The sequence below is a fragment of the Homo sapiens genome, chromosome 14 (assembly GCF_000001405.40).
Source record: "Homo sapiens chromosome 14, GRCh38.p14 Primary Assembly".
Taxonomy (NCBI): Eukaryota; Metazoa; Chordata; class Mammalia; order Primates; family Hominidae; genus Homo; species Homo sapiens.
In genome coordinates, this window is record NC_000014.9 from 101,868,138 (window position 1) to 101,894,408 (window position 26,271).

Below are 26,271 nucleotides of genomic sequence, written 5' to 3' on the forward strand. Positions count from 1 at the left end.
AGGAAAGAATGTGTTGAATTAAGAGGGATAGTACATTGACCAATGGAGTTGCAGTCAAATTTATTTCAAGTGAGGATTTAAATCATGCATTCCCAAGTACTTTTTGAAATCCAGAGAATGATTTTTCTACTTTAAATATCAGTAAGCTGTTTTTTAGAGGTTTGTTTGTTCTTACGATTTTGAGATTTTCCTTTGATGTTTTTAAATTATAAAAGAAATACATGCTTATGTGATAACAAATGAAACAAATACGAAAGCATTTTAAAAAGTTAATCTTTTTCCTACTTCACCCCTCCCCAGTTCTACCCATCTCTACCTCCAATCAGCCAATTCATGTTTATTGTATTTTCAGAAGGCTGCTGAGAAACTTTTGGGATGATGAGTATGTTCATTATCTGATTATATGATTGTTTCACAGATATATGCATATGTTAAATATCAAATTTTACACTTTAAATATGTACATTTAATTGTATATAAATTATATCTCAGTAAAGCTGGGTGTTTTCAGATGTCCAAACTTGTTAGGTATTTCTTTTGGTCTAGGGGTGCAGTGAAGAAATTACTAAGACACCAAGGGCATTGTGAACCAAGAAGTTTTGGGAACTTATGACCTAGTGAATATCTTTCCATAACTTTTTTTAAATTAATTTTTTATTTACATATAGTGAAATTCACTCTTTCTTGTGGCCAGTTCTCGGAACTTTGATAAATGTGTATAGTCACGTCTTCCGCACCACAGTCAGGATATAGAACAGTTTCTTTTGGTTTTGTTTGTTTGTTTGTTTGTTTGTTTTTGAGACGGAGTCTCTGTTGCCTGGCTGGAGTGCAGTGGCACCATATCAGCTCACTGCAACCTCCGCCTCCTGTGTTCAAGTGATTCTTCTGCCTCAGCCTCCCGAGTAGAAGAACAGTTTCTTCAGCCTCCAGAAACATGGCTTTATGCTCACTTTGTAGTCAGAGCCTTCCCCTTCCTTTCTCTCTGCCCCTCACTAGTCTGTTCTCTATCACATCATTTTGTCTTTTCCAGAATGGAAACTCCATAGAAATGGATTCAGTGTATAGCCTTTGGGTCTAGCTTCTTTCGCTTAGCTTGATGCATTGGACATTCGTCCATGTTGTCACACAGTTTGTTCCTTTTCCTTCTCAGTGTTGTCTCATTATATAAAAGTAACACCATTTGCTTATCCATTTCCTATGGAGGGATATTTGAGGTGTTTCCAGTTTTATTTGGAGCAATAAAACTTTTATAAATACTTACATACCGATTTTAGACATAAGCTTTTATTTAACTTGGGTAAACACATAGGGATGCAATCGCTAGGTGAATGGTAAGTGTGTGTTGAGCTTTCTAAGGAACTGCCAAACCGTTTTCCAAAGTGGCTGCCCCGTGTGATTCCCCCAACAGTGCGTGAGTTCTCATGCCTCCCGTATCTTTGTCAATATTTGGTGTCATCAGTCCTTTTATCTCATTTTGATTTTAATTTGCATTTCCTTAATGACTAATTATGCCAGGCTTGTTTGTTTGTTTTTTGGAGACAGGGTCTCGCTCTGCCAGCCAGGCTGGAGTGCAGTGGCTCAATCATGGCTCACTGCAGCCTCCACCTCCCAGGCTCAGGTGATCCTCTCACCTCAGCCTCCTGAGTAGCTGGGACTGCAAGCGCCCATCACACCCACCTCATTTTTGTATTTTTAGTAGAGACAAGGTCTCACTGTGTTGCCCAAGCTGGTCTCGAACTCCTGAGCTCAAGTGATCCCCCTGCCTCAGCCTATGAAGGTGCTGGGATTCCAGGCGTGAGCCACCACACCTGGCCCAAGCATTTTTTCCCTGCGCTTTTTGTCGTTTGTATATCTTCATTGGTGAATTGTCTGTTCCAATTGTTTGCCTGTTTTTCAATTGGGCTTTTTTTTTTTTTTTTTTTTTTTTTTGAGTTTTGAGTTTTGAGACTTCTTTACATATCTGGGTACAGATTTTTTGCGAGATACATGATTTGCAAATATTTTCTCTCAGTCTGTAGCTTGTCTTTTTTTTTGTTCTTAAGTGTCTTGTACAGAGCAAAAATGTTTAATTGAGATAAAGTCCAACTTAGGATTTGTCCTTTATCAGTAGTGCTTTTGGTAGCATATCTAAGAAGTCTGCCAAACCTAAGCTCACAAAGATTTTTCTCCTATATTTTCTTCATCGTTTCACATTTTACATGTAGGTCTGTGATCCATTTTGTCTGCAGTTCGTTCTTTGGCGTATGGATTTCCAATTGTTCTGTTTGTTGAAAAGACTGATGAATATCCATTGAACTGCTTTTGTTCCTTTGTCAAAAATCAGTTGAGCATGTTGTGAGTCTTCTTCTGGACTCTGTCCTGTCGCGTGTTTGTGTATCTCTGTTTGCCAGTCTCACACTGTCTTCAGTACAGTACTTGATAGTAAATTTTGAGATCAGGTTGTGTGACTGCTATAACCTCTTTCTTCTTTTTGAAAATTGTTTTGACTATTCTAGTTATTTTACCTTTCCATATAAATTTTAAAATCAGCTTGTTATCTACAAAATATTCTCCAGGGGTTTACTGCATGCAGTGAACATGTAGACTTGGAGACCATTGACCTCTTAACAGTGTGAGCTTTGCAGCCTATGTACACAGCATGTCTCCCCATTTTGGTCTTCTTGTTTTGTAGTTGTCAGCAAACAGATGCTATAAATATCTTCTTAGACTCGTAAATTAGTATTTTGGTTTTTGGTTGTCATTGTAAATAGATCTGTTTATTTCCCATTTGTAATTGTTTATTGTCTTGTTGTAATTATATCAGGTTTTGCTTCATGTTATATATATTCATATAAATATTCAGTGTATATCCCCTCTTGGTGAATTAACTCTTTTACCATGATAGATATGACTGTATTGCTGGTAATATTATTTGCTCTGAAATCCACTCCGTCTCACCTTAATATAGCCATTCCAGCGCTCTTCTGACTAGTGTTGGCATGGTATGTCTTTTTCTTCCCTTTTACTTTTGATCAGTTCGTATCTTTATACGTAAAGTGGGTGTATGGTAGATAGCGTATTGTTGAGTCTTGGTTTTTTTTTGTTTTGGTTTTTGTTGTTGTTGTTGTTGTTGTTGTTGTTTTGAGACAGAGTCTCGCTCTGTCACCCAGGCTGGAGTGCAGTGGCACAATCTCTGCTCACTGCAAGCTCCGCCTCCCGGGTTCATGCCATTCTCCTGCCTCAGCCTCCCCCAAGTAGCTGGGACTACAGGCGCCCACCACCACACCCGGCTAATTTTGTATTTTTAGCAGAGACGGGGTTTCTCACCATGTTAGCCAGGATGGTCTCGATCTCCTGATCTCGTGATCTGCCCTCCTCGGCCTCCCAAAGTGCTGGGATTACAGGCGTGAACCACTGTGCCCGGCTGAGTCTTGCTTTTTTATTCAGTCAGACAATCCCTGTCTTTCAGGGTGTTGAAACCATTTATTTTTCATGTGATTATGAATGTACTTGGGTTTAAATGTACCACCTTCCTATTTTTTTTCTATTTGTCCCACCTGTTTATCGTTTCTCTTCTTTGTCTGCATTCTTTTGGATCAATTGAGTACTTTTTATGATTCCCTTCTATCTCATTTGTTGGCTTCTTTATGATAACTCCATATTGTTTGATTTTAATTGTTAGTCTTTTCTAGAACACACCTTTAACTTATCACAATCTACCTTCAAGCGATAACATACTATTTCATATAGAATATAAGACATTTACAACAGTATACTTCTATTTCTCCTCTCCCAGCCTTTCCGCTATTATCATACATAAACCCCTCAATATCTTATTATTTTTGTTTTAAAGAAATTTAAGTGATTTTTAAAAATCTTTTTTTATTATACTTTAAGTTTTCGGGTATTAAAAATCTTTTATATTTACCCAGATAGTTACAATTTTCAGTGTTCATCATTCCTTTGTGTAGATTCAGATACCCATCTGATATCAATTACCTTCTGCTTGAAGGACTGTCTTAATATTTCTTATAGCACAGGTCTACTGATGATGAATTCTTTTAGCTTTCGTGTATCTGCAAAAGCCTTTCTTTTCTTTTGCCTTTTTTTTTTTTTTTTTTTTTTGAGACAGGGTCTTGCTCTGTTACCCAGGCCAGTGTATAGTGGTGCAATCACGGCTCACTGCAGCTTTGACTTCCAGGCTCAATCAGTCCTCCCACCTCACACCCCAACCCCAACTCTGCCCCAGTAGCTGGGATGACAGGCACATGCCACCATGTCCAGCTAATTTTTTTACTTTTTGTGGAGACAGGGTCTCACTAGGTTGCCTAAGCTGGTCTCAAACTCCTGGGCTCAAGCAGTCCTTTCATCTTGGCCTCCCAAAGTACTGAGAGTACAGGGGTGAGCCTGGTCTTGCCTTCAGTTTTGAAAGATCTGCTTGCTGGTATAGAATTCCGTGTCGACCGTTTTATCCTTGAAAAACTTTTGCTCGCCTGTTGTCTTGCTTGCATTATTTCTGATGAGATGTCTCCTGCCATTCTTTTCTTTGTTCCTTTGGACATAATGTACCCTTTCCCCCTCTGGGAGCTTTCACAGTTGTCTCTTTTTAAGTCATTTGATTATGATGGGCCTTGGCATGGTTTCCTTCATTTTGCCTGTGTTTAGAGTTTGTTTATAATTTTCATCAGTTTGAGAAATTGTCTCTTCAAATATTTTTTTCTGTCCCATGACCCTTTCTCTCCTTTAGGGATCCCAATAACGTGTATTAGGCTTCTTAGAGTTGATGCTGATGCTCTATTTCTCTTAATTCTTTTTTTTTTTTCTGTGTAACATTTGGATAGTTTCCTTTGCTTTCTTCAACTTCTTTAATCTTTTCTGCCATGTCTATTCTGTTAATTTTTATTACAGTAAATTTTTCATTTCACACATTTTTTTTAATTAAGTGAGCAAATTTACTTAAGCAATTAGAGATCTGTGGGTACATATTGTTGTTGTCATCTCTAGTGGTTTGATTTGTGTCTTTTTAAAATATCTTTCACGTCCACCTAACTTTTTGGACACAATACTGTATTCATGTCCTTGTCTGCCAATTCTAACATTTGTGTCATTTCAGTTTAGTTCAGTTGACTGGTTTTTCTTCTCATTATAAATCCTTCTCCTGCTTCTTTGCGTGTCTGGTAATTTTTAATTGGATGTCTGACATTGTGAATTTTGCTTTGTTGAGTGCTATATCTCTATTCATGTTCTTGAGATTTGTTTGGGGATGCAATTAAGTTACTTGGAAATAGTTTGATCCTTTCAGTTCTTGCTTTTTCAGATGTTTTAGGCAGGAACAGTTATATTAAAACCAGAGCTAATTATTCTCCACCACTGAGACCTTTCTGATTAGGAAGCCAGTGCCCTATGGATTATGAATTTTTCCCATCTGGTTGGTGGGAACAGACACTGTTCCCAGCCCCGAACAAGTACTGGGTTCTCACTAATCCTTTCAGGTGGTTCTTTTCCCAACCTCTGGTAGTTTTCTCACACAAATATGCTGATCTGTACTCTGCTGAATAGTTGAGTGACCTCTACAAATAAATCACTGTAGTTCTTCTCTGTGTGCAGCTGTCTCCCCTGTGGAACTCTGCCTTGCAAATTCTAATCCAGTTTGAATCCTGGGTCCCACCTGGGTTCTTTCTGCCTATACTACAACCTAAAAATCTATCAAGGCAGGAGCCTGGGGCGGTGTGGGACGTGCCTCACTTGTTCCCATCTCAGGGATCACTGTCCTTATCCTTCGTTGTCTGAAATCCAGTGTCTTGAAAACCGTAATTTTATATATTTTTGCCCAAATATTTGGTTGTTTCAGGCAGTAGCATAAACCTCATCCTTGTTACTCCATCTCATCTGGAAGCATAAGTCTGCTTCATTTATAATAGATACTCAATAAACACTTAACTCCGTCCACCCAGGGGATCTAGCAATTATTATAAAAATGAAAGACTGTTTGCATAATTTATAATGCCATAATTTCATACGTCATTTGGGGTTAGGGGAAATGGCTGTGCATACATGACTGGGAAGTGATAAGGAGTTTAGCTCTGAAACTTCCCTTCTCAGTTGATTTATATCACGTTGGATAGAGAGTATGTTGTTCTGCTATGCTAAAGCATTACTAAACTTTCTCATACCTTACTGCAAAAAGAAATCAGAATACATGATAAAGCAAATATATTAGAATGCTAATGGTAAAATCTAGATGATAGCTGTTCGCTATAAAATTCTTTCAACTTTATTGCATTGAAATTTTTCGTAATAAAAACATTGGGAATACATCATTCAGAATCTATACGAAACTAATCTTTGGCCCAGAGTAAATAACTTAAGAGCACTTCCAAATCCAGTGTTATCTTTAAATGACACTAGTTGAATTGAATTATAAGTATTATGAATTATTTCTTATGTATAAATATTCTAAACTCAAAAAATATAAACTCATGCACATAACTGTAAATGATTTATTTTCATGCTTATCTGAAGATGATCTTGTTATGAAACTGTAGAAAATTAAAATATTCATTGTTTGAAAAGTTTAGACTAAATTTCCTTTATTAAGTATTCTACAAAGGTTTGTAAGTTGTTTGTTTTTTTTTTAATTTGAGACAGAGTCTTGCTCTGTCGCCCAGGCTGGAGTGCAGTGGCACGATCTCAGCTCACTGCAACCTCCACCTCCCAAGTTCAAGCGATTCTCCTGCCCCAGCCTCCAGAGTAGCTGGGATTACAGGCCTGTGCCACCATACTTGGCTAATTTTTGTATTTTTAGTAGAGACAGGGTTTTGCCATGTTGGCCAGGCTGGTCTTGAGCTCCTAACCTCAGGTGACCTGCCCGCCTCAGCCTCCCAAAGTGCTGGGATTACAGGGGTGAGCCACCGCGCCTAGCCCGTAAGTTTTTATTTCCATATCTTTAACTGCTATTTAGGAACATATTTGAATAGATTGTAAAAATAGCAAGTTATTCAAAGTAAGAATTTTCAATGTTGTGGTTCTTTTCTTGACTGTCACATCATGGCATCTATTTGGAGGTGAAATCGATTCTTTGAAAGCAGCTCTTGCTGTGGAGGAAGCGCGAGGTAGATTTGTGGGAAGAAGGCTCTGCTCTCCCTTACCTCTCTTCACTGCCGAGCACTCATTGTGTGCCAGGGCCAGCAGGAAGATATTAAACCAAGGACTTCCCGGCCACCCAGTCATACTTGAGATAAATATTCCAAAGAAAATGTACAGCATCATAGAAGAGCTTAAAATTAGGGGCCCAATTAGGACTGTAATTATTTTGCAGCTGAGACGTAAAGGTTTAATGAGACATTTTTCACAGTTTCCAGGTAATTAATTGGTGTTGCAGTTAATAAGGTGACTGATGCGTGCTTTTCCCAGGATCCATTTACTCTCAGCAAGTGTTTGAGGACCTCCTAGGTGCCAGGCACAGTGGTAGGTGCTGGGATTGCTGTGCATTTATGTTCTCTAGATGATAGCTGAGTTCTGGTGCCATGAAAGCAGATTCAAACTCACTTTACAAATGGGGAAAGGGGTAGTATCTCCCTTTAAGACTGCTACTACGATTTTTACTATTCTACCTAAATTTTAGGTTAAGTTCATTGAGTTCATCAAAAATTCAGTTTAAGATTGTGTCTGCTTTATACATTGCTCTGCGAAGTTCCATCTTTGTAATATGATCTCATTCCACATCAAAGGTTCCTCCGTTTTTTCGGGCATTCTTCAGTGCCTTTTATTAGAGTTTTCTGCTTTCTCCATCAAGGCCTTGTAACTAGGTCAGTAATTCCCAGGCACTTTGTAGTTTTTGTGTCTGGGTAGCTGGAGTCTTCGTCTCTGTTTCTTTTTTGTATTTGCTTAATTGTTAGTGGAAAGGTGGTTGCTGTTGGTTTCATATTTTTGATATTTGCATGTGGTAGTCTAGTTGTGATGGTCTGTCTGTTGCTTCTGTTTTCCAGCTATATCATTTGCAAACAAATGACAATTTTGTACTTAAATATATATATATTGCGAAGGGGCTTAACACTTTCTGCCCTTCCCAGAAATGTATCTCTTAGCAATATGACTCGTAGAACCTAACAGTTCCATCACAGGAGGAAGTGTTCTGCAGTAACTGTAATTTGGCCTTTGATGGATTCATCTGTTATAAATCCTGTTGACATGAATAAAACAGAGAATAAATAACAGAATAACCCTTGTGGTTTTGAACAGAGAACTGTAAATAATCAAACCTTTCTTTCCTGTTGCCTCTAAAGTTAGACTGTCAGCGGTTTTTTTTTTTAATGTATCCCTTCATGTCTTAAAATTTTTATATGTTACACTGCTGCAGTTATGTTACGGCATAAATATTCACTCATTGGTAATGAATGATAACACATACAGAAAGGCTGCATGATATTGCTGAATTGTAAGAATTTTCCGTAAAGTTGCTTCTTGGGCCATTCTAGTTTACATCTAATTTAATAAATTTAGCAATTTGGAGAACATCTGCAGGACTGATGTAAGTACTGAAAGTGGAAGTGTCAGGGAGGCAGCAGAAGCAGGTGCTTCCTGATATTAACCAGAGACGGTCCTGGCACAGATGGGGCCGTGTGAATCACATGCAGACATACGTATGCACTCACGTGCGTGCCATTATTTTCATGTGGAGGTCAAACAGTCAGAAACGTTTGGGAAGTGCTGTGTAATGCTAACTGTTCGTGCATAATGTTTTCCCATTTAGTAAGTGCTGTTGCATGTGTTTTCTGTGATTCTCACCACAGCCCAATGCAAAAAATAAAAAAAGGATTTACGCTTTTTTTTTTTTTTTTTTTTTTTTTTGAGATGGAGTCTCACTCTATTGCCCAGGCTGGAGTGCAGTGGTGCAATCTCGGTTCACTGCAACTTCCACCTCCCAGATTCAAGTGATTCTCCTGCCTCAGCCTCCCGAGTAGCTGGGATTACAGGCACCCACCACCACACCCAGCTAAGTTTTGTATTTTTAGTGGAGATGGGGTTTCACCATGTTGGCTAGGCTGCTCTTGAACTCTTGACCTCAAGTGATCCACCCGCCTCGGCCTCCCAAAGTGCTGGGATTACAGGCATGAGTCACCGCGCCTGGCCTTTACCCTTTCCAATGGAGGAGAAAATTGAGGCTCAGGCAGGCTGTTTGGTCTGAGGTCCTTCTTCTAGGTGGGAAGAGGGTGTAGAGAGACTGTTTCCATGAGGCTGTGCTGCCTTTGTTGGGCAGCGTGATTCTGCGTCTGTGCCTCTGGGTGTGCGCTGGATCCGTAGGTCTCATTTGAGAGATCACAGTGACCCTGTGTGCTGCCCAGAAGACCCGGGACTCCTTAGACCTCAGAGCTTCTTTGGTGTTCACTGCATAACGTTGATGTCTTCTCTGTTTCCTCAGACCGGATCCATGCATCCAGGTAGCATGGCAGTGACATTTGCACACAGACATCAGCACCCCAGGTTTCTGTACCTGGGGCTCCTGCCCCTGATTCGCCCCTGCAGCTTTTGTGTTAAGAAATGTTGCTAGGTCAGAAACCCAAGAAGAATTTGAGGTGATAGACCGTTGGCCCTCTGTTCCTTCCCCCCGCCCCAGTATTACTTTTTACTTAACCTTTTCTAGAGATATGCACTAAATTAATGCAATGTAATGTGGTAAGAAAGGTGTGTAGAAGTTAGGAGTGCAAGTTTTTTTCCTTACACATGAGAAATGACTTTCAATCAATCAGAATTGGCCTGGAATGAACCTTCCCGGACCTAGGTCGGTCATCAGTCAAGGACGCTGTATCAGTCTGCTCAGGCTGCCGTAAGAAAATACCACAGGCTGGTGGCTTAAACCACAGAAATGTGTCTTCTCTCCATTCTAGAGGCTGGAAAGTCTAAACTCAAGGGTGTAGCAGGGTTTGTTCCCTGCTGAGGGCCTTTTCTGGCTTGCAGACGGCCACTGTGCCCTCCCATGGCCTTTGCTCCGAGCAAGTGCAGAGAAGGCGAGTGTGAGCCTTCTACCATCCCTCCTTACAAAGACACTAATCCTGGAGGGCCAAGGCCCCACTTATGACTTCATTCACCCTTCATTATTTTCTCTGAGGACCCATCTCCAAATCCAGCCACACCAGGGTTTAGGTCTTTAACATGAATGTGAGGAAGGGAGGCCACAAGCATTGAGTCCATGACAGACACTGAAAAGAGGACATTGTGTTCAGAGCAAGCCATCTGAGTCACCTTGCAGGCCCTCAGCTCAGCATCAAGGATTCAGTGAGTGTGCAGGTGTTTGAGACGGGGCCTAGCTGCTGGGCTGACTGTCACTGTGCGGGAGAGCTTCAACTGGAAACCCTAATCACTAGCTTTCCTGCTAGTAGAAACCACCAGTTTACTTAGGAATCTCAGCTGACTGGGTGCCTCAGTCAGGGCTGTGCAGAGAAACAGCAGGAGAGACAGAGATTGAGATCTCAAGGACTTGCCTTCTGCAGTGGGTGAGTCCAGCGGGCAGGTCTGGACTCCGTGGACAGGCAGCGGGCACGAGACTTGGCCGTGGTGGACACTGCAGGCCGCAGGTGGACTCTCCTCAGAGAAGCTGCAGTTTGGGTCTCACAGGCCTCTCAGCTGACTGGTTGAAGCCCCCACATTCTCAAGAGTGATCGCTACTTGAAGTCCATTGATTATAGGTGTTAACCACATCTATAAAATGCCTTCACAGGAACACCCACAGCAGTGTTTGGACAGCTGGGCACTGTGGCCTAGCCGGGTTGACACATACGGCCAGCTGGCACAGTCGGGGACATTTTACTTTTTTTCAGTTATCGCCTTTAACCACGATGGGTGAAATCACACTTTCCTGTGCCTAAATAACATCTTAGGCAAGTTGGTTAACTTCTTAGTCATCCCTGGTCACAGAAATCCAATCTAGGTTAAAGCTTTCATCTCAGACCCTCTGCAAATGGCATCTAAGCCGCACCCCAGGCAGCCTGGCCAGGGAGGGACATGCTGTGGGAGAGGAGGGGAAGCAAGGGTGGCTCCGAGCCCCTCTTGCCCGCCCTCCCCCGGGGCTTTGAGCAGAACCCAGAGCAGAGGGGAAGGGCAGCTGCCTGTTCTGCTCAGTTGCTCCCTGTGGCCTCGGCCAGAATGGTGGTCTCTTCCTCTGTGGCATGTCTGTGACTCTTGGGCAGCAGGCCTCTTCCAGAGGGACGGCTGTTTCCTCTCCCCCAAGACCTACAGCCTCGTCTCTGGGTGAGCTGACCCCTCTCTCCCTTGGCAGCTTCCTGGGCGGCGTGGCCCTACGGCTCCTGCTCTGGCCTCTGTATCCCTGATGGGCAGCCCCAGAAACCTCGGAAGCAGTGACCGTGCTTTCCTTCCAGGCGCCATGGTTCCTCAGGCCCTGATGTCACAGGCTGTTCCCAGAGTCTCCTGCCAGGCATAGTCCTGTTCACAGATTCCTCTGCCACCCAGAGTTCGTGCCCAGGCTCTGCCCTCCCCACACTGTGCTCTGCCCCTGTCGGCACCAGGCCGGGCCCACAGCTCTAACCCACCGAAGAACAAAGTGCCATCTCCCTTTCCTGAAGGTGACCCTGTCCTGTGGGTGACTGGACCCTCACCCCAGTCTCTTGGCTTTGAGAGAGAGGGTAGAAACCCCAGTTCACGAATGCCACACTCCCCGTAGGAGCTAAAGACTCAATTCAGACTTTCCTTTCTCTGCCCTTCATGGCCCTGGAAGTTATGGAGAGCTTCAGCAGTGGCTGCTAATGACAGGACCCTGGGAGGACATGGCGGCCTGCCCAAAGTGTGTGTGTGTGTGGCCTTTCCTTAATAGTTGAGCTTTTAGCATCTGCTTGTTCACGTCTGTGGGCTTTGGGGTCAGGGTGCCAGGAGGGGCAGACTAGACCCCTGTCTGCGCCGAGTGCCTGTGGGCCAGCAACTGAGGCAGGGCCGTCCACCTGTCAATCACCGTTCTTTGGGAGGCTCCTTGCAGTGCCCTATACACACACTAGCTTCACAGAGGAGGGGACAGTCCCTGGAGAGTAGACATTGCCAGAAATTATAACACCAGTGAGAGTCAGGTTAACTCTCGGTTTTAGATTGCAAACTTTTGTCTTTGTACCTATGTCTTAGGAACATTACTCATACTTTTACTAGAAGTGTTTTTTAATTAGTTGTTCCTGGCTTTTCAGCCCCTTTTTTCATCCCTGCGTTTCTACAGTATCCGTGAAGGCCATTACAGTTGGTCTTTACGTCAGCTCCCCTCTCAGATGACACAGAGAACAAGCTCAGATGCTTGATACTCAGATGCTTGATGCTCAGAGCTTTTATAGCTGATGACTTTCTGAAAAATGATATTAAGGTTTGGAGTTCAGTATCAATACCAGTAAAGAAGGGAAGAAACAGGCAGGTGCGGTGGCTCACGCCTCTAATTCCAGTACTTTGGGAGGCCGAGGCAGGAGGATTGCTTAAGCCCAGGAGTTTGAGACCAGCATGGGCAACGTAGCGAGTTCTTGTCTCTGCAAAAAATAAATAAAATTAGCAGAGCATGGTGGTGCGTGCTGGTAGTCCCAGCTACTTGGGAGGCTGGGGCAGGAGGATCGTGTGAACCCAGGAGTTGGAGGCTGCAGTGAGCGATGATGGCCACTGTACTCCAGCCTGGGCAGCAGAGAGATGCCCTGTCTTTAAGAGGAAAAAAGAAAAGGGAAGAAACAGCAGTGGTGACATTGAGTATTAGCTTGGTCTTTACAAGACTGGGTATCTAAAGCCAGCCAAGTTTGCCCTGGACTCTCTAGAAACATCTTCTCGTTGTTATCGTAGAGTCAGATTTTAATCTTTTATGTCAAAGGTTTTGATTTTGTGCTTCTGAGAGTGGTGGGACTGGGGTTGTGATCACCTATAAGAGCCATTCACCAGAACCCAGTTATATAACTGGCATACGATCCGTTCAGAGATTCAATAAGGTAACCAATCATATTTAGACTTAGTATAAAAGAGGGTTGGGCATGGTGACTCACGCCTGTAATCCCAGCACTTTGGGAGGCTGAGGGGAGCGGATCACTTGAGGTCAGGAGTTTGAGACTGGCCTGGCCAACATGGTGAAACCGTGGTGAAATCCCATCTCTACTAAAAATACAAAAATTAGCCAGGCATGGTGGTGCACGCCTGTAATTCTAGCTACTCGGGAGGCTGAGGCACAAGAATCACTTGAACCCGGGAGGCAGAGGTTGTGATGAGTCGAGTTCGCACCACTACACTCCAACCTGGGCCGCAGAGGGAGACGTCACCTCAAAAATAAATAAATAAATACATAGATTTAGTACAAAATAAAAATAGGTTATAAATGTATGACATGGAAACAGTAATCTTTTCTGTTTATGTCACTGATCTGTCAGTATGTGTTATACAAGTCCAAACAGACTGAGAGAAATCTAACAGCCCATGCCTGGGCGCACAGCCATGCTGCCCCTACCGATCCTCTGTGCCCCTGAGCAGTCCTTTCTCTGGAAATGATCTTAGCTGCCGACTCAAAGGTCGTCCCACTCTGACTGTTGCTTTCCTCATCGTTGCGGATTGCAGAGGATGTTGGTGCCATTGTCACACGGGTCCTCCCTGCGTGACGCAGCCCTTGCCATTTCCAGCATTTTCAGCTGTGAATCTCTGCTGCGTCTTTCGTCATCTCATCCCTTTCTTACTCTCATTTTGAGCATTCTCCTTGGTCTTGCACCCACTGGATAGTATAAGACCTCAGAAGTCATCACTGTGCCATCAGCCTTTGTTGGTGTTGGTTGTCATTCAAAGTTTGACAGTCAAGAGTCCAAGTAACTTTGGTGGTCAACTTGCGTGCGCACCTGTCCAAAGTGATGTTTCCTGCTGCAGTTTTGATCCAGGCTCTCTCTGAGGACCCACACAGCTTCTGCGTTTTGAGGATACGGAGGAGCTAAGTTACCATGGGAAGCGGCTACTGTTAGAATTACCTAAGACTTTATAAAATGTTGTCTGTAAATATTTTAAATGCCCTGATTGTAATTATAGAATATGTGGATTTTAGTTTGCAGTTAACATGTTTCGAACATTACCACCTTCCTCCAATCCTACGGGAGCGGAATTTGACCCGGAGGAAGATGAACCAACGTTAGAAGCAGCCTGGCCTCATCTACAGGTATCGGGCTCTGGGTGATAGACTCGGAGGGCACTGGTGACACATGGGAATGGCCTGGGATCCACAGAGCGGGCGCACTGGTCTGGCCAGATGGACCTCTCCTCCTCAGTAGCATGGGCCTCGTAAACCCATATGTACAAGAAAAATATTTCAGCAGAATAAAGTTAATGTGTGTGTTTGACCACTTTACAACAGCCAGTGAAGATGTGTAATTGTGAGTATGTTCTCAGTGAAGATGGCCGCTGTGTTGATGGCCGTTGAATTGAATTCAGGCCCAGAGGTCCTAAGCCAACAATCTCCCAGTTTTTGCTCCTCATATTTAATAGGTGCCTGCTGGGCCCCCAGGTCCTGCGCTGGCCACTGCCTTTCCCCAGGGCATTTGTAAGGCAGAAGGTTGGTTGGCAAGGAGGCGCCAGGGTCGGCATGAGCAGAGCGGGGGCCAGGTGTGCGGGTGGGAGGGCCATCCATCCGTGACAGGCGGCCCACGCTGTCCCACCCAGCATGTCTGCACAGGGAAAGAATTGTCCCAGCTCCAGGAGGTCATGATTCTGGGTCCACATCTTAGGGCCCTCTTACCTGGCAGCCCCAGAGTTCCTGTGTATTTGGTTGGCTCTGCGCCTTGGCATTGTGGGACACTCCTAGGCGACAGGCTGCAAATCCCCCCTGCAGAGTTGGGTCATGGCTTGGTTTGTGGCATCTGTGCCCTGTAGTCCCTGAACAGTGTACTATAACTGATGACATCAGCCATGGAGATCATTTTGTTTAAATGCCGTTTAAGGGTGTAGTCTGTGGGTTTCACCAAATAAAATAATTACCATCACCATTTATCATTGAATTAAGCCATGTAATTTAGCATTAATTCTGTAGATATGTGGCTTTGAGAGGCTAATATTTGCATACCAATAAAGATTCAATTTCTGGTATATTTTAACCGCCATTCAATAAAATCTCATGTTATTTGACTCATTGTTTTTTTTCCTCCTAGCTTGTTTATGAATTTTTCTTAAGATTTTTAGAGTCTCCAGATTTCCAACCTAATATAGCGAAGAAATATATTGATCAGAAGTTTGTATTGCAGGTAAGGTACAAATTAGCTGACACTCTGAAAGCCCTGATGGAATGATGACACCCAGCCACTAAGTGTCTTTTTCTTCTCAAAGCTTTTAGAGCTCTTTGACAGTGAAGATCCTCGGGAGAGAGATTTTCTTAAAACCACCCTTCACAGAATCTATGGGAAATTCCTAGGCTTGAGAGCTTACATCAGAAAACAGATAAATAATATATTTTATAGGTAAGTCACGTGTGGATGGCGTTGTCCTTGTGTGTGGTGATGCTCATTTCCCCCCTCGATGCTCCCCTACCCCATCGTCTCCTCTGACAGGACTCAGCATGTGGAGGGGGTTTCTCAAAGCCTATTTGTCATGTGCAGGTGGACCCCCTTGTGCACTGTGTGCAGGGGGCTGCTGGGCTCATCCTCCCTGCCTTCCTCCCCTCTCCCCACAGCTCCCTCCTGAGCCACCAAGCTCCCCAGCGCCTCATCCTGGGTCCCTCCATTGTTCCTGTTTCTACTGAAAGGTCAAGTTTCCTGGAAATGTGGATGAATTGGTTCCATCCAGACCAACTGTATTAGTGAAGGTTCTCTAGAAGGACAGGACGCATAGGATAGATGAATATATGAAGGGGAGTTTATTAGGAGAGTTGACTCACACGATCACAAGGTGAAGACCCACAATAGGCTGTCTGCAGGCCGAGTCCCAAAACCTCAAAAGTAGGGAGACGGACAGTGCAGCCTTCAGTCTGTGGCGGAAAGCCCAGGAGCCCCTGGCAAACCACTGGTGTAGGTCCAAGAGTCCAGAAGCTGAAGAATTTAGAGTCCAATGTTCAAGGGCAGGAAGCATCCAGCACAGGAGAAAGATGGAGGCCAGAAGACTCAGCCAGTCTAGCCCTTCCACGTTCCTCTGCCTGCTTAATTCTGGCCGCACCGGCAGCTGATTAGATGGTGCCCACCCAGGTTAAGGATGGGTCTGCGTCTCCCAGTCCACTGACTCAAATGTTAATCTCCTTTGGCAACACCCTCACAGACATACCCAGGCACAATACTTTGCATCCTTCAATCTAGTCAAGTTGACACTCAGTATTAACCTTCACACCAGCTTTTTCCTTCTACCTGTGCATCACCTCATTCTTCCCGTGGAGTCTCAGTGAGAGGAGGCGGGGCAAGAAGTGATGTCATTCATCTGTAGAAAGCCTGAGATCTGTGCACCTCGGTTAAAGGTTTGGAGACTCCCACTGTGCACCAGGGGAGGGAAAGCCCCGCTGGAGCAGCCGGTGGAGGAGGACAGAGTCCAGTGGCAGGCCCACCTCCAGGCCCGCCCCTCCCCAGCCAGCCTCTGCTCAGCTCCAGGCTCCTTCCACGCCAGGGCTCTGTAGCCAGTGTTGGAGCCTCCTGGAATGTCTTTTTTACACCAGCCCTTCCCTCAGCCTCCCAGGCTTCCTGAAACATCCCTTCACTGGGAGGCTCTGCCTGACTTGGCGGTGGGTCTGGTCTCCCGCAAGGGCAGCCACCATGTCAGTTGATTTGTCGCACGCCCCACCCCACTGCCAGTTTCGTGCTCCCCACTGCGGTGGCACCAAGTGAATGTCAATAGAGGAAACAGTTCCTGTTGTTTCTTTTTGTTCCTGGAAAGTTCACTAAATGAGCAGTTTCTTCTACAAGTTACAGCTTCTCTGGTCAGCTTGCCTCTAAGGCATCTGACTCCAGGATGTTGCGAGGTAGTGACACATCCTGGTGATGGTGGGGACGGTATGATGGCGTGTCTCTGTGAGATAAGAGCATGAGCAGGTCCCACACAGCCTCGCTGCAGGGCCAGGGTGTGGACAGAGCACGGGCCATGGCCTGGAGAAGGGGCCAGGTGTCAGCCACGCCCAACACGGGCCTCGGGGTCCTTTCTTAGTCACAGTGACCACGGGAAAAGAAAAGGGGCATCTGAGACAGACAGATGGCAGATGAGACCCCCCCTGCCAAAACCCACAGCCCTGGCCCCTCCCATCCCGTGCCGGCTTGCACAGCCTGCGTCGGGAGCACCCTGCCTTTCCGTCTGCAGTCATTAGGGCCCGCAGCCCCGGCCTCTCCCATCCCGTGCCGGCTTGCACAGCCTGCGTCGGGAGCACCCTGCCTTTCCCTCTGCAGTCATTAGGGCCCACAGCCCCGGCCTCTCCCATCCCGTGCCGGCTTGCACAGCCTGCGTCAGGAGCACCCTGCCTTTCCCCTCTGCAGTCATAAGGGTTGCATTCCCTCCTGACCTGCACACCTGATAGGGCATTTCGGCGTGAGAGCCTTTGATTTTGCGTGTGGCTTTCCTTTGAACTCCTTCCAAGTACCCCACATCTCGTTTGTAAAATGGAGCCCGGTGCTGGACATAGCCCAGACCTGACACATTAACTATAACAGAGAATGATGTCACTTTCCTAAATGTTATGTTTCTATTTTATGTTTCTTGGTATCATGATTCCTTTTTAACAAGATCATTACTTGCCTGGTATACTTATCTATGAAAACATAATATACATTATTTAACATACAACAGGTACAATTTAAATTTCCAGTCTTCTTGACCTAAAATTAAAGCTCTACCTAACATATTTCTGTTTTCTTAATTCTAGTAGGTTTTGTTCAGATAGCAGAATCACAAATCTATTGAACATCTGCATTTAAGAAGTAGAAAATGGGCCGGGCGTGGTGGCTCACGCCTGTAATCCCAGCACTTTGGGAGGCCGAGGCGGGCAGATCACAAGGTCAGGAGATCGAGACCATACTGGCTAACACGGTGAAACCCCATCTCTACTAAAAATACAAAAAATTAGCCGGGCGTGGTGGCGGGCACCTGTAGTCCCAGCTACTCGGGAGGCTGAGGCGGGAGAATGGCGTGAACCCGGGAGGCGGAGCTTACAGTGAGCCGAGATCGTGCCACTGCACTCCAGCCTGGGCGACAGAGCAAGACTCCGTCTCAAAAAAAAAAAAAAAAAGTAGTAGAAAGTGTTTTGTACCTTAAAGAACCTTAGGAAATACTTAAATAGATTAGTATTCCAAAGTTATTACGCATAATTTACTTGAGTTCTCACTAAAGGCTTGGTGCTAGAATATGGCATTTGTGTCTGTGTGCATGCTTTTGATAGTCTTTTCTGTAATTGTGTGCATGCTTTTGATAGTCTTTTCTGTAATTGTGTGCATGCTTTTGATAGTCTTTTCTGTAATTGTGTGCATGCTTTTGATAGTCTTTTCTGTAATTGTCCTGATACGCGCAGTCAAAAGCAAGCATGCTATCTAGATTCCGTGATTGGTTTGGGTCCTCATTGTCAATACCACTACCTCCTCATTTCATGTGAGGAAAAAAAAAGAAGAAAGATCTTGAGAGTTGCATTCAGCTCATCTAGGTTTTTTTCTTTTCTTTTCTTTTCTTTTCTCCTTTTTTAAGGCAGGGTCTCACTCTGTCACCCAGGCTGGAGTACAGTGATGCTGTACTCCATAGCTCACTGCAGCCTCAAACCCCTGGGCTTAAGGGATCCTTCTACCTCAGCTTCCCAAGTAGCTGGGTCTACAGATGTGTGCCACCACATGCGGCTAACTTTTAAAATTTTTGTAGAGATGGAGATCTGTCTCACTGTGTTGCCCAGGCTGGTCTCAAACTCCTGGCCTCAAGTGATCCTCCTGCCTCAGCCTCCCAAAGCACTGGGATTACAGGCGTGAGCCACCACACCCAGCCAGCTCATCTAAGTTCAATATAGAACAGCTGTGTCTTGTAAGAAAAAACATTTTGAACATATTTGGCTCAACTTAACTGAAAATGTAAATATAAGGTTGCTGTTTATTTCTATGGTTTATCATTACCGTCAGCTTAAGTGTGAGTTAAACAGTGCTGTCCATAACCCATGGTGCCTGCTCTGGCACACAGCGGGACCTGGAGGCTGGGCGGGCAGGGCAGTGTGCCGTTCCTTCTCTTGCTGCATAACCAGCCATGGGTCATGCTCTATCCTCACCCTGGCCCTGCAGCAAGGCTGTGCAGCACCTGCTCATGCTCTTATCTCACAGAGAGATGCCATCAAACTGTCCCCATCATCACCAGGATGTGTCACTACCTCACACCATCCTGGAGCCAGGAGCCACCGCCAGCTCAGTGGCTTCTGTCAGCATGGTCCATCACTCCTCACGATGCTGTCGTCTGCGCTAGGCTCATCCAGACGGTTCTGCTCCGTGGCGTGTGCTGGGGCTGGAGTGTTCACAGGGGCTGCTGAGCAGGTCCCCACGCTGCCTCTGTGATGCCTTGAGCTCCTCCAGGTTGTCTGAGTTTCTACAGCCACGGCCACGTCCAAGAGGGGAGAGGCAGGACCCCCAGTCCTCCTAAGAGTTTGGCTTGGAACTGGTGCAGAGTGACTTCTGCCCTTTGTGTTGGTCAGAGCAGGGCACAAGGACAGCCCAGCTTCAGAGGAAGGAGAAATAGAGTCCACCTCTTCCCATGAGGCCAGAATACATCATACAGGCAGGAAAGGCATTTAGAATCCTTTCTGGAGACTTCTATAGCCAGCAGGTTCCCAGCTTAGTGTCTGGGGGGTCTGATTCCCTTTCTGCTGAAAGAGTGAGAAACACTCTCTCCGGCTCCCAGGGATCTCTGTTTCCCTCCCAGGGTGTCCCTGTTTGTCTCCCGCTGGAAAAGGAAGAAGGAAAAGAACTGTCCTTATTTCTTCTTTCTTCTGCCTACATCAAAGCAGGTTTAAAAAATTAGAAATTAAGAATTTATCAGTAAGAATGTAGTAATGTTGATTTAGGAAAACAAAATGGCTTATAACTGCAAGCCATCCTTATGTAAATGTTAAAGCTGATGGATCTAGACCAGAAGGGGTCCAGGGGTCTTTGTCTCGGAGAGGCCCAGATCACAGCTCTCCAAGGTCCATGCGAGAGGAATAGTAAACTGAAGCCACACGGCTGCCGTGTATGCAAAGGGAGCCTGCAGGGTGAGTTTCGTAAATTAAAGCACCTCTCGGTGTAGACACACACAGACTGACTTCTGCTTGGTCACAGCTTCCAAGCCTCAGGGTAGGTGCAGGCTGAGGGACACCAGGTGCGAGCATTTTCTGTTTCTTGTCATGGCACCAGTGTCGTTCCTGTCACCCACGGCACTGAGCTCTGCCCTGGTAACGTCCCTCCCTCCCTCTTAGGCTTTGGCCACCTGCATTGTTGTGCTACTGGGTCTCCCTGCTAAAGGTTCTGCTTCCTGGTTCCTGCAAGAGCAGATCTCAGTTTTTCTGTTGTGTTGTTTTGTTTTGTTTTGTTTTGTTTTTTGTTTTGAAACAGGGTCTCTGTTGCCCAGGCTGGAATGCAGTGGCGCCATCTCAGCTCACTGCAACCTCCATCTTCCAGGTTCAAGTGATCCTCCCACCTCAGCCTCCCACATATGTGGGATTACAGGCATGTGCCACCATGCCCGGCTAATTTTTATATATTTAGTAGAGGTGGAGTTTTGCCATGTTGGCCAGGCCCGTCTTGAACTCCTGACCTCAGGTGATCCACCTGCTTCAGCCTCCCAAAGTGCTGGGATTACAGGCATGAGCCACTGTGCCCGGCCAGATTTCGGCTTTTCTAAGCTGGCCTTCCAGCCTCTCCATGCATCTTGCCCACCCCACTCCACGGCACAGACCTTTGTTCCAGCCAAACGAGTTCTTCTCCCTCTCCACACTGCCATATAAAAAAAAAAAATCTGTGAAAATCCTCCTTCAGTACCCAATTCAAGCACCACCTCTCAGTGCATTCTGATGTTTGGGAACATAGAAATGTTAAGACCCATTCTTGAAAAATATTTCACATCTGTGGATGTTAAGGTCACACTATTTCATTTGTTTCAAACAAAGTGAACGAAATTTCAGAGTTGAATTTTTTAATCTTCTCAAACTTATTTTTGGCTTAGAGCGGTCTCTAATCAAATGGTTTTCATCTGATGGGCAGGGATCTTTCAGACCCTCTCACTGCATGCAGGATACCCCTCGTGGACTGCTCTAGACCAATCCCAGGTGCACGAGGCTTGGGGCAGGAGAGGCTTCTTTGTTTCTGTAGGAGCCCTTTGCGGGGAGGACATTTTCCTGTTTCCTAACATGTCCCTGTTCCCTCTCTTTGTGCCCGGTTTATTCAGCAGACGTGTTTTCAGCATCAAACAGATGCCAGGCTTGCTCCTAGCCCTGGGAACATAGTCACGAGAAGTCCTTGGCCCTGTCTTTGCAGTGGCCCCATCTGGAGGGAGACAGGCTGGCACAGAGGGTAGGGTGCGTGTCCTGGGGCTCCCCTAGAAGCAGGCGCAGTGGACAGAGATGTCTCAGAGGAAGGGAGCTGGGTCTGTCGCAGATGGGTGCTTCAGAAAGATCGCACCTGAGACAGCACGGAGGATGCGTGTGGGTGTCAGTGGGGAACTGGGCAGGTAGAATAAGAGGAGTTCAGGAATCACTTCTACCCTTTGCAGGAACTGTGCTAAATATTGCGGGCTTTAAAATTAAGTAAGACATTGGCCTATGTTGAAATACAGCAAAAACGTAAGATGGATTAATGAACGAGTAAAAGATGGATGAACAGATGTGCGTGTGATCAAGCAGATGGAGCACATTGCTCGTGGTCGAATCTGGTGGTTGAAATGGGTGTTCACTGTAGAATTCTTTCCGTTTTCCTAGATGCTTGAAATTTTCCAAAATAAAATATTGAGAAAAAAATTCGTGCAAGACCAAGTTCTCTGCCCTCGAGGCATTTACAGCTGCAGGCCTTGAGGAGTTTCTTTGGTTCCTGAAGGGCTGCTTGCTCACCACGAGCAGTGTTTGCACAAATAGATGCGCTTCTTGTTGCCTGGCTCCATGGCTCCTCCTAGAGCATTGTTTTCTTATTCAGGTTAGTTCAGTGTCTAATTCTAATGGGAAAATTGTTTTTTCTAGGTTTATTTATGAAACAGAGCATCATAATGGCATAGCAGAGTTACTGGAAATATTGGGAAGGTAAGCCTCTGTTATGGGTAGCAAACGGCTGTAGATGGAATTTATACCAGAGTGATCCATTTCATTGAGTCCAGCTGCCCGCTTTAAAGCAAGGCAGTTTAAACCATTCTCTAAAAGAATTCAAATACAATTTCACTGAAAGCAGGAGTTGGTGAGCTCTTAGATTAGAGCACGCCAAATGACAAATCTCTCCCATTTTTATGGTTCTGTACGTAGATTCTACTTCGTATACCTCAGTATCATTACTATGGAAACACAATTCCAGTTATTTCCTCAAGAGCAATGTTAAAAATAGTTAACCTAAGAAGGTTTATATTAGAAGCTTGAAAGAAGAATAGATTGTACATTTGGGGTATCATGTAAATGCTAATATTTTTAATTACTTCAGTTTTTTATATGTATATTTATAAAATAATTAACATTTCAAAACTTTCATCATCTTTATCCAAGTAAAGTTTTTAGTTGCCCTTTTTTTTTTTTTTTTTTTTTTTTCTTTTTGAGACTCTTGCTCTGGCACCCAGGCTCAAGTACAGTGGCACGATCTCGGCTCACTGCAATCTCTGCTTCCCTGGTTCAAACGATTCTGCTGCCTCAGCCTCCCGAGTAGCTGGGACTACAGGTGCCCGCCACCATGCCTGGCTAATTTTTGTATTTTTAGTGGAGATGGGGTTTCACCATGTTGCCCAGGCTGGTCTCGAACTGCTGGCCTCAGGTGATCTGCCCGCCTCACCTCCCAAAGTGCTGAGATTACAGGCATGAGCCACCACGCCCGGCCACTTTTATTTAATTGATAACCCGTAGATTTTATATTAGACCTTCTAACCCACTGTTTCCCAGAGTTCCTCAGGGTCCCATGGTTAGTAAGTGTGGAAGTGCTTTTTCCTGCACCTTTTTAGGGATGTAGTGTAGATGGGCAGTTCCGGGTTCTCAGGAGCCTGTGGTGGAGAAGTCTGGCACTCTGGATGGATCTAGTGACGCTCTGCAGCTCCTGAGCACAAGACTCTCTTCTCAGGGTGGATCAGGTCCTGCCCAGTAGTTCTGAGAAAAGCTATTCTTGCCACTTTAGATGTAATTTGAAAAAATGTCCTCGCTGACAATTCTTTTAGTTTAGACAAACTTGGGCGGGGTTTCTCCCTCAGTGCAGTGCAGTGAGTGGTGAAGAGGATGCCTCTCTTACTAGATGTGTGACCATGGGCAGGTACTTCTGTAAGATAGGCGCATCCTCGCATTTCCCTCCTAGGTTGTTGCAGGGACCGGAGCGCTGTATGACATGTGTTCCACAGCCCGCCATGCCGTGTGCGTAGGGCCCCCGTGTGCATAGGGCCGCCGGGCAGCTCCCGCCGAGAGGCTGATTAGTTTTATCCTTCTTCCAGATGAGGCTGAGCCTTCGGGTGACCCTGTGAGTGAGCACACCCTCCTTGATGGGCCGCTCCAGGCTCGCCCTTCCCGCATTGTCCGCTGTGCCGCGCAGAGTCAGTAATGGAAGACCAAGTTAGAGACAGCTCTGTCTACTTCTGCAGCTCAGTGGCAGTCACTCCCGTTTGCCTAATTACAAAACCAAGACAATAAACTAGTTGTTTGAGACAAAAACTTTGCTTTGGAGGCTCTAGGTAGGACCTCTTTTCTTGCACAAGGGAACAGCTTTCTGTTTTTTTGTTTGTTTTTTGTTTTTGTTTTTGAGATAGAGTCTCGCTCTGTCACCGAGGCTGGAGTGCAGTGGCCCGATCTCAGCTCACTGCAAACTCTGCCTCCCAGGTTCAAGCAATTCTCTGCCTCAGCCTCCTGAATAGCTGGGATTATAGGAGCCCGCCACCGCGCCTGGCTATTTTTTTGTATTTTTAGCAGAGATGGGCTTTCACCATCTTGGCCAGGCTGGTCTTGAATTCCTGACCTCAGGTGATCCACCCACCTCAGCCTCCCAGAATGCTGGGATTACAGGTATGAGCCACCGCCTGGCCCTAACTGATTTTTAACCAGCTCTCATCCAGCATCCACTGGGTCTCTGTTACCAACATTAGAATAACATACCTGAATTACTCCAGGCAGCAAGAATGCCTACCAGATGGATAAGGCTGAGGGAAGGTGTTGGGTGGGGGGTGGGGGGGGTCCCACGTGAACTGTCCCGTCTTCCTGGCCTGTTTAGGGAGGAAGATTTTGCCACCAGGAGCTCCTGCTGTTGAGCCAGCTCCCTGCTGTTCTGGGTAACACCTGTAAACCCAGAATTTTTAAATTATGTAGTTACAAAGATAAAAATAACTATACTTCCTGGTAGGCATTTAGCATTTTTAAACTTTTTGCTGGTATCCTCTTTTTTCTGATACACACACACATACACACACACATATGTATATATATAGGAAGAATCCTCGGATTTCCCTCTTAGGCTGTTGCAGGGACCGGAGCACTATATGAAGTGTTCCACAGACCCCTATATAGGATCTCGCTATACTACCCAGGCTAGAGAACAGTGGCTCTTCACAGGTGTGATTATAGCGCACTACAGCCTCGAACTCCGGGTTCAGATGATCCTGCCGCCTCAGCCTCCCAAGTTAGCTGGGGCACAGGTGCATGGCAACATGCTTGGCTACGTATATTTTGCCTGCTGGGTTTTGATGGTGAAAACAAAAATTGAAAGACGGCAAGATATTTGTTTAAAACCTGGAATTCGTAAATGTTCAAACCTAATAAATGTTCTTTTTACAGTATAATTAATGGATTTGCCTTACCACTAAAAGAAGAGCACAAGATTTTCTTATTGAAGGTGTTACTACCTTTGCACAAAGTGAAATCTCTGAGTGTCTACCATCCCCAGGTAAGGGGCAGCAGGACTCTAGGAACACAGCTGTTGGCATTTGATCAGGATTGAACACGAGATAGTGAATCCGGCCTTGACTGAGAGTGCTTTCTTCTTTATAGGCCTGTACTAACTTTGGTAACAAACTTCTGGTGATAATCGAAAGAATAAGGGGGTAAAGAGAGATTCCTTTTAAGAAATTCAGAAAAATCTCTGTAATACAGAATTTTTCAGTTTTAAGCATTGAGAAAGGAGTAACTCTCTGAAAGGAGTCTAGGAAGACTTCTGAGAGGAGTTTTCTGTAGTGTAATCTAAAATTCAGTACCTTAAAGAGAAAAGCCTATATAGGTCCATGGCCAATGAATGGCCTATGAAAACGTTTTTTAAAAAAATAAAGCTGCCTATAATCCCAGCACTTTGGGAGGCTGAGGCGGACAGATCACCTGAGGTTGGGAGTTCAAGACCAGCCTGACCAACATGGAGAAAACCGTCTCTACTTAAAATACAAAACTAGCCGGGCATGGTGGCACATGCCTGTAATCCCAGCTCCTCAGGAGGCTGAGGCAGGAGAATCGCTTGAACCCGGGAGGCGGAGGTTGCAGTGAGCCGAGATCGCGCCATTGCACTCCAGCCTGGGCAACAAGAGTGAAACTCCATCTCAAAAATAAATAAATAAATGAATGAATAAAGCTGTGAATTTTTTAAACTGTAGTAATCTAAGTACAGCTGTACTGAAAAATTGGTCAATAAGTGGTTAATGGACTGCATTTACCTGGATTTGGTTTTCTCTCACTCTTTGGCTGCAGTGGGCGTCTTTGTTCACTTCCGGCTGTCACAGGGCCAGGCACTGAGCAGTCACGCCCCAGCACAGGCACAGGGGTGCACAAGGCTCCTCTCTGCCAGGCCCCACTTTCAGAGCTTATGGTAGGGGCTAAATGACAAAAAGTATATTCTTTAATTGATTCTTCCTAGAACATATTTATTTTCTCTGACTGCTCTTAACTGGTAATATCTTTGCATCCAGCCAGATTATCATATTGTTGTACAAAAGAAATTAATAGTTCAGAGATTTAAGATGGAACCAGATTTTAATTTGTTGTTCCCCACTGTTAGATGACTCGTTGATTGTAGTCTGCACAAGGACCCCAAGAAAATCCCATCATACTGGATTGACTTAGCGGTGGTTAGACTAAAAAGACTGTTTCCTGATTTATTTTTCTTATTTTTATTTTTCAGCTTTCTGATCTATCACCAATTAATGGGCATAAATGTTAATGCCCGTTAATCACACAAGGGCTTTGTCTGTACCGTGGGTCCT

The 26,271-nt window shown here is 45.1% G+C and overlaps 1 protein-coding gene across 29 annotated transcripts in view, besides 3 other annotated features; it reads left to right on the forward strand.

Moving 5' to 3' along the window:
• PPP2R5C (protein phosphatase 2 regulatory subunit B'gamma) overlaps positions 1–26,271 on the forward strand; it is a 167,420-nt gene that overhangs the window by 107,565 nt on the left and 33,584 nt on the right. For all 29 annotated transcript variants that reach the window (XM_005267819.2, XM_005267824.2, XM_005267827.2 and 26 more), the window contains 5 exons: positions 14,024–14,134; positions 15,120–15,212; positions 15,295–15,425; positions 22,100–22,159; positions 24,863–24,971. In XM_005267819.2, the coding sequence (XP_005267876.1) occupies positions 14,024–14,134; positions 15,120–15,212; positions 15,295–15,425; positions 22,100–22,159; positions 24,863–24,971 (504 nt within the window). The remainder of the gene's footprint in view (positions 1–14,023; positions 14,135–15,119; positions 15,213–15,294; positions 15,426–22,099; positions 22,160–24,862; positions 24,972–26,271) is intronic.
• Positions 7,894–7,963: a silencer, noted in NCBI's record as "silent region_6104". NCBI's record gives its function as "represses an Ori minimal core promoter by ATAC-STARR-seq in GM12878 lymphoblastoid cells {active_cell/tissue: GM12878}" and the evidence as "EXISTENCE:reporter gene assay evidence [ECO:0000049][PMID:35858748]".
• Positions 8,284–8,353: an enhancer, noted in NCBI's record as "active region_9056". NCBI's record gives its function as "activates an Ori minimal core promoter by ATAC-STARR-seq in GM12878 lymphoblastoid cells {active_cell/tissue: GM12878}" and the evidence as "EXISTENCE:reporter gene assay evidence [ECO:0000049][PMID:35858748]".
• Positions 10,572–10,721: an enhancer, noted in NCBI's record as "active region_9057". NCBI's record gives its function as "activates an Ori minimal core promoter by ATAC-STARR-seq in GM12878 lymphoblastoid cells {active_cell/tissue: GM12878}" and the evidence as "EXISTENCE:reporter gene assay evidence [ECO:0000049][PMID:35858748]".